Here is an 8,700-nt window from a genome sequence, read left to right on the forward strand (position 1 = left end):
ATGGGAGATTTGCATGAAGGTGACTGAAATTAATAAACTATATCGTGCTCCATTGGAAAGGATCGAAGAGCAGATGCTAACTTAGCTGACCTGACAATAAGTGGAGTAGTGATTAGCCATGCTGCAGTGACTCACTGACCTGGCAAGCACCATCTGAGAGCAGTCCAATTTAAGTCAGTCACCATAGCGTCAGGGCGGGAGGGAGACAGGGATCTCCCAATGAGGTTCGTGCCCTTCTCTCTGGAAAGACCAGCTAAAGAGTCAACAGGGTAGCTGATAACACCAAATAATGTTGTTCTACACATAGGAGACAACAGATGTGTCCTGGATGATTTAGAAGAGGGGAAGAGAAAGAACACACGAGGGGCCCAGAAGCCAGGGAAGGCTTCAGGAAGGAGGGAGATTTCAACTGGTCCTGATAGATGAATCAGATTGAAGCAGGGAATTGAGGGATGCTAACAGTTAGACCACCCTTGGGTTGATTCTGCTCAGAGAGTTCTAGAATCCTGATGATGGAAAGAGCAAAGTCAACTCATGGTATGGGGTGAGACCTGTGCTCCATCGTCATAGCCCACAAACCCTGGCACATCCATGGCAGGGCCTGACCCCAAACCTAGAGTCAGCATCTTCAAGGGTTAGTGCCACGAATTTGTATGTTCGTAATTACCAGGTGATTCTGATCTAATGACCCCTATCTCAAAGATGAAGAAATCGAGGTCCAGGGAAAGGATGTGATTGGCTCATGGGGCATATATTGTGAATTCATTTAGGATGTGACTTTCCAACCATTTCTCCAATACTTCTCCATGAAGGGTGTGCTCTGAAACCCCACCTGCAGAGGCAAGCAGGGTCACCCTACACCTCTCTTTGGCTGGACTCTGTCTCCTCGACTGGGTTCGGAAGGTTGTAATGGTGCATGGCAGCTTCTCTGCTCCATTGTTAATAATCCACTCATCTGGAAGAAAAAGCAGCAGCTTCTTCCACCACCCCGGAATTGCAACATTTGTCCTTAGTGAAGCAGGGGATGGAAAAAAAAAGAAAACTCTGCTGATACAGTTTTGCCTTTTCCTGCAGGTCCTTTGGACTCAGCCTGAGAACCTGCCCCAGCTGCAGAAGCGCTGTCTCTAAAGGGCTGCCGTCTTAACCCCTTAACCCAAATTTCATTCCCTCAAGGCTTGCCAGGGGCCGGTCTGTCGTCACAGGCATTCCTTGCAGACGCATCAAGGTTATTTTCCCATTTTTGAAAGGATGTGTGGGAACATGGAAATTCTGCTCTGTTTCAGCCAAAACAGAAAAACAGGATTGTGTTCCTAAATCCTTGAATTCCTCTCCCTGCTCCTCTCATCATTTCCTGAAATCCCACTTGTATGTCCTCCTGCAAGACTTTGCAGTGCCTCTGTTATCTGACTGCACCCAAGCAGGCATCATTAAGACCAACTCCCAGTTGCTTTTTAACAAGCTGCCCCACCCACCATCTCGGTCCCCCCCAGAGCATCCCCATCTTTTCTGTTTCCAAAGATATTTTTATACCTTTTGTTTCAAAGATGATTCCTCCCAGGACAGGGCTCTCTGACCACCTGGTCCTGTGCACACCCTCTGTCCCCTGCACTGATGCCCTTTGCCCTGACATCCCTTCAGCTTTGCTAGGACAAGGGTCTCTGGCAAGGGGCTGAGGCCACTGGCTTAAGTGGGGTTTAGAGATCACACATTTATTTCATGTATCCTTGCTTCCCTCTAACACTGAAAACCTGTCAGTTACTCATTCATTCATCAAATATGAAGCACCTATTGGATACCAAGCACTGTATGAAGCCCTGAGATGGCTGGGAGGTTGCTATGGCTCCTTATGTATTCAGATCCAACACGACAGACTGAGGAAACGATTTAGGAATCAAAATCAGAGCTGCCTCAAGAAGTGGATCGAAGAATCCAAGTGACTGCAAAGTCTTTTTCTTCCTTTTGTAAATAAACAGTTATGAAGAGACAAGAAAAAACATCTCACAACTCTGTCTGGTTCCAGGGAATTGGGCTGGTCATATGTGAGGCTTTAGGCACAGAGCTTCATTTCATTCTATTCACGTAATGCACAAGTATTAAGTGCCTCCCATGTTGAAGGGTCCTTCCTTTCCATAGGATATCTGCAATCCAAGGCCTATGGGGTCATGGTGATGGGTCTGAAAAACCCAACAGGTATGAAAATGTTCTAGAGACATGCTGTACAATGACATGAATATAGTTGACACTCCTGAACAGTCGCTGTAATTAAAAATGGTTGTGATCAGCCAGGCGCGGTGGCTCACGCCTGTAATCCCAGCACTTTGGGAGGCCGAGGCAGGCAGATCACAAGGTCAGGAGCTCGAGACCATCCTGACTAACACGGTGAAACTCTGTCTGTACTAAAAGTACAAAAAATTAGCTGGGTGTGGTGGCGGGCGCCTGTAATCCCAGCTACTTGGGAGGCTGAGGCAGGAGAATTGCTTGAACCCAAGAGGCGGAGGTTGCAGTGAGCAGAGATTGCACCACTGCACTCCAGCCTGGGCGACAGAGTGAGACTCCGCCTCAAAAAAAAAAAAAAAAAAAAAAGGTTATGATCATAGATTTCAGGTATTTGTGTTTTACCACAATTTTTCAAAAACCTGACAAGTCTTTCCAACAGCCCTCCCCTAAAGAAAACAAGCTCATTTTCTCATGCACACTGGCTTATGGGCAGTGCCAGGAAAGACCCATTTCCCAGTAGCAGGCCCAGCACGAAAGAGCCGACGGGGTGAGGGGTGGGCCAGGGGTCCCACGCAGAGGGGCCAGGACATTTGAGGCTGCCTCATCTGTGCATACGTCCTAGGGATGGAGCCAATAAGAGACAGATGTGCCCTAGACCCTACCTGCTCCGTAGGCAAAAGCCAATCACAGCCAGGGATCCCAACATTTGCGTGAATGCTAATTGAGGCTTTTTATTTCTTAACTTGTGAAGATGGCAGAAGTTTTATTTTCTTCTCAGAATTCCGCCTGGCCTACCAGATGCCTAGCTCTTAAAAGGACCTCGTTCTCTGCACTGATGGACTCTGGCAGAGTTTGGGATGGGAGGTGGTGGTGAAGAGGAGGCAGTCCTACACTTTAAGTGAGAAAAGTACAAAAAAAAACGGTCTCTAAAACACAGCTGCCAATGTCAGTGGGGTTCCTTCATTCTTGAAATTCACCTGATGACGATGAACAGGTTCAATATGAAGTTCATTTTTCAATTCATTCTATCTCATCTGAGTACCTACTCTGGGACCATGGACTGTATAGAAATTAGGACTTGAAATTGTCCTTTGCCACCTCCTTCCTTCTCCTTATGGAGTACAGAACAATGGCTCTGGGCAGGGCCAGCTTCAGGTGTGCATGACCCATTGGGACAGTGGCGTAGAACCCCGTGCTTGGAAGAGCCTTGAACGTGGTCAATGCTCTGCTGTCAGCCCTTCCTGACTTTTAAATAAGGGGGCCCCATATTTACATTTCATACTAAGGCTCAAAAATCATGTAGCTGGTTTTGCTCTTGGTAATGAAAGACTCCTTGAGGTGGTTCCCACAGTTTTCCATATCCCAGCCAGGGCTCTCTTCACACTGTCCCCACTTCCATGGCTGGAGCCGTAGTTTTTTCCTGGTCATAACTGTGGAAGGCAGAAAAAACTCACTTCTTAAGTCCTAACCCAAGATCATATTTTTTCCTGTTAAAAATTGCTGTTCATCTTAAAGTAGCAACATGAGTCTTAAACGGGATTCAGTACTTCAGTCCAATGTGCTAAAATGATTCAGTTTTAAAGAAAACTATTTTTGTTGGTGCAAAAGTAATTGTGGTTTTTGCCATTAAACCACAATTACTTTTGTTTTGTTTTGTTGTGTTTTGTTTTGTTTTGTTTTGAGACAGAGTCTCACTCTGTCGCCTGGGCTGGAGTGCAGTGGCGCGATCTTGGCTCACTGCAACCTCTGCCTCCCGGGCTCAAATGATTCTCCTGCCTCAGCCTCCCAAGTAGCTGGGATTACAGGTGCCCATCACCACGCTTGGCTAGTTTTTGTACTTTTAGTAGAGACGGGGTTTCACCATGTTGGCCAGGCTGGTCTCAAACTCCTGACCTCAAGTGATCCGCCCGCCTCAGCCTCCCAAAGTGCTGGGATTACAGGCATGAGCCACCATGCCCAGCCTAAACCGCAATTACTTTTGCACCAACCTAAATAAATTTCCCTATGAGTCCTACCTAGGCCTAAGGAAGGAAAGGGAAGTCCAACACAAGAAAAACATCTTCACTCCTTAAAACTCTTAAACATGTAGGCTCCCCACGTCGTATACATTAACATCTCTGCTAATGTATGAAATAAATTTCTGGCACAAAAATCCTAACTCATTCATTAAGAACAACAGGAAAGCAAGTTCTACCAAACACCATAATCAACCCACTGATATTTACCGATAGCCTTCCCTCACCCCCACCCCCAACCCCACTCCCACTGTGGGACTTAAAAGGACAAAATATTTTTGTGAAAACAGCATTTGTGTGCTTTTTTTTTTAAGGGCTAAGAATGTGAGATCTAAATCAATTCTAATATATTTCAAATATATTCATTATCATGCACTAAAAGAGAATTCCCATTTTGTGGTTCTCCAAGGAGAGTGACAGAGCCTTGTTTGTAACAGCCCCGGGCATAAGCAATCATTGTGTAGCTTAATTAGATATTCCCCGTGCTAGTGTGAGGGACATATGTCCATTCACTCTGACAAACACTGACAGCGGCCGGCGCTTTCATGATCCTGCTCTATGCAGATAAAGGCAACGCAAGTGCGAGCTCTCCCAAGGACCTGTGGCCCCAGCCGGCCCCGGCACAATCAGCCCGCATTCACCGATTGGTTCCAGTTTATTAATAGCCTATGAACTTCTCATCTGCTCCCGGACTGGTTAGGACTGTCACCTGCAACTGCCAGGCCAGAAAAGGCTTTTCCACTCCTCGGGATCCGAGCGGATCTGGGTCTGCTGGGCCAGGCGCACTTTGTATTTTCCAACACAAAGAACAATGGATTTGAGGAGTTGTAAATTGCAAGAGTGGAAAAGCAGATCACGTTTTAGGTGGGTCCAGAAGGGAAGGCCACCCCACAGTCAAAGGGAAGGCAACTAGAAGCTAAAATAGGCTTGGCTAATTTTAAAAGCTACTTAAATTCTTATAGTTCCAATTTTTAAATATACCTTCAAATGAATAGGAGTGGAGGGGAGCGTCCAAATGGGGAAAAGTCTTGGCCCATGTCCTCACCTTCTCTTTGGAAAAGGCAAACTATGAAAACAGGGGATGAATACCAGAATGTCCCTGGGTCCCCAATATTCTCTTGCACACCCCACCTTAGAAGTCTGTCTCCACCCTCTTCTCAGAACCGAGTCCAACTTTTTTCGGCTGAAAACCCGTTTTGATCAGGAATTCTCCCTGACTTTTTTCTCCTCTGGGGAAATGTGTATTCGTTAGCTCATGCTGCCATAACAAAGTATAGCAAACTGGGTCGTTTAAGCAACAGCCATTTATTGGCTCACAGTTCTGGAAGCCAGAAGTATAAAATCCAGCTGTCAATTGTGTTGGTTCCTTCCGTGAGGGAAGGATCTGTTCCAGGCCCCTCTCCTTGGCTTCTAGAGGGCTGTCTTCTCCATGGGTCTTCATGTTATCTCCCTTCCATACGTATCTGTCTCTGTGTCCAAATTTCCCCTTTGCCGAAAGACATGAGTCACAATGGATTAGGGCCCACACTAAAGAAATCATTTTAACTTGATTACCTCTTTAATTGATTACCTCTACTTCCAAATACAGTCACTTTCTGAGGTACTGGGTGGTAGAATTCCAACATATCTTATTCCCAAGGTATGTTGGGAAAGGAATCTTTCTTCCATTTCTTAAGGGACCTAATACAAAAGCACCACTTGCTCTAACTCCCCACCCAGACTGGAGATATATTAGGTCCCCTGGCCAAATATCAACCCCATCCTCTAAGATCATTGCAAAATAAACCACTTTCAAATACAGAGAGGCCCTCTCTGTCTTTGTCTTCTACTGTTACATAGGGGCTACTCTGGTGGAATTTGAGTCTTTAAAAATGGTCCAATTCTATTTCAAAGAAAGCCAGAACTTGAAAAGACCTAAGAGAAGAGTTGAACCCCTCTGTGCAATGGGCCCAAAGGGGAAATGGCCTGAGGTCACCACGCTAGTTGGTGATAGAACGGGGTCTAGAATCCAGGCAGCATTCAGCTCCTCTGATGGGTCCACAGAGCAGTAGGAAGTCTTGATGCCAGCTAGTGAGGGAACCCCTCAGTTTAACTCCTCTGAGACTGGAGAGCTCCCAGGCACCCTTGACTGGCTTTTCTCTCCTCTTTATAGGGAATCCAAGAATCCCCCATCTGGACCACTATAGAAAGGCACACTGTCAACCTGCATCAGCGCAATGCTTCCACTAACTGGACAGATCTAGAATTAAGGCACCAAAGAAAGAGGTCCACCTGGTCAGTTGATAATTGATACTCTTTATAATTGCAAGTTAATGGGCTCTTGAAGTCTGGCAGATCTGGGTTTGAACACCAGCACCACCATCTACCAGCAGTGTGACTGGCATCCACCATTTAACCTCAGCTTTTTTGTAAAATTCCTACCTCTCCCAGTTGTCATGAGAATGGACATCAATAATGCATATACATTTCTTGATAGCAATAACATAACTGACCTTAAAATAGGTCATTTTTATTAGTTATCCTCCTTAGGCAGAAATGCATTGGTCACATGGTGGACCCAGAAATGGGAAGTTGTTTTACACAAATTAAAACAAAGCAAAGCTTTATTTTCCTCTTATCCAAAGCTATTTCAGAGAATAAATAATCAGGAAGCAGCTGTCAAGTGAGGTAGATGAATGGTTAGTTTTCCCAGATATCACTTCATTCCACTCCTACAGACCATAAGCTGGCAGAACTGATCAACAGGAACAATTTAAGAATGCTGCCTAGGGGCACTCCAATGAGCTTTTTATCCCCATCAGTTGTGGATAGCCACTGTGGTAGGACAGAGGAAAATAGATGGAATGTCAATATAAGTATCAACTGGAAAGGTTCTCCCAAATTAAATAATTAGCCTGGAAGACAAACCCCAATGTCTGATGAGGACTCAGTGGTCCATTTGTGAGGTGAACATGAATCCCTTCTAAGGAGGCAGCTCCCTTTGAATGCTTCTACCAAAGTTTTCCATAATCTTTGGTGTCTATGAGGTCAGCAGGTCAGGTTATTATCACTCTAATATTGTTCCATGGGTCATGTGGTCAAGAGATTCCCAGAGTCACATGGCAGAGCCAAGACCAGGATCAGGGCTTCTGCCACTGGACTAGGCTCATCCCTTTCACTGTTCCAGACTGTTCTAGATTATTCCAGACTGTTCCACACTGTTCCACATTCTCATGTGTGCCTTGGGGCCCAAAATAGGGATGCTTGAAAAACTGCCACATATTGTTTTCAGGCATATTCCAAATGTCTAAGAGATTTATAGAGCCATTTTGTCTTTACTATTAATGAAGGTGACAACTGGCCACCATCAATCTCACTAATGTGAATGCAAAATAACTCTACAAATCTCTTAGACACAAGAATGGAAGCTGGGCATGCCCCCGCGTGAGGTTATTTCAGAGTCACCTGAAGGTCTTCCATCTCCCACCTCCCCAGTTACAATGTTTTGAACTTTTTATTTCCTTGGATGTCTCAAATATCCATAGAGCTTAAATGCAAATGTCTGTAAAAAATAAAAAAATACAAGGGGCTTCCTCAGCAGTTTACCTCCATGTGATATGCCTATGTCCAATACAGAAACACCTAGTCAGACGCACTTCCCATGCCCAAAGGGGCAGACAGCTCTTCTTGTTGTATGTGGTTGGCAGGGGGAGTCAGACCCATGGAAACATTTTTACAGTTAGGAAATGCAGGCAAGAGTTATGCACACACAAGGGCTGGGGGCTGTTTCAATTCTATATTGTAGCAGAGCAAACTATCTCCAAACTTAGTGACTTACAACCACCAGTTCATGATTTCTCAAGACCCTGAGGGTGGGAAGTCTGGAGAGGGTATCATGGGGATGGCTCCCCTCTGCTCCATGAGCGGGGCTGGGATGTCCATGACGGCTTCTTCCCTCCCGTGTCTGGTGCCTCAGCTAGGATCAGTCAGGGTCACCACTAAATAATTGGCACGGATGGCTTAAATGGAGGGGGTTGGCTGGATCTGCTCGGTGGGGGGCTCACAAGGCCTTGGGTTAAGGTCTGAGGTCTTGGGTCCCTTTCCTCTCTTTCCATGTAGACTCAGGACATCTCTCCCTCTCTCCATGTGGCCCCTCTGGCTGAGCTTCTAAAATGGCAGCTGGCTTCCAAAAACACAAAAGTGAAGGCTGCCAGACTTCCTTAAGGTTTAGGCCCAGAACAGGTATAACTTCACTTCTATTGCATCCTGTTGACTAAAGTGTGTCACGCGGCCAGCCCAGATTTAATTTGGAAGGGAATTACACATAGACTTGGGTACTGGAGGTGTGTTGCAGTGGGGGCTATCTTTGGAAGCCAGCTACCTTAGGAGCTCACCCTTTCCACCTTCTGCCCCTGCAAGGGCTGAACAGATCAGTCTCCATCTTTGAGTGGTGCTCCCCTCAGGACAGCACAGGAGAGGCTGGGTCTGC

Source organism: Homo sapiens, chromosome 21, assembly GCF_000001405.40.
Source record: "Homo sapiens chromosome 21, GRCh38.p14 Primary Assembly".
Taxonomy (NCBI): domain Eukaryota; kingdom Metazoa; phylum Chordata; class Mammalia; order Primates; family Hominidae; genus Homo; species Homo sapiens.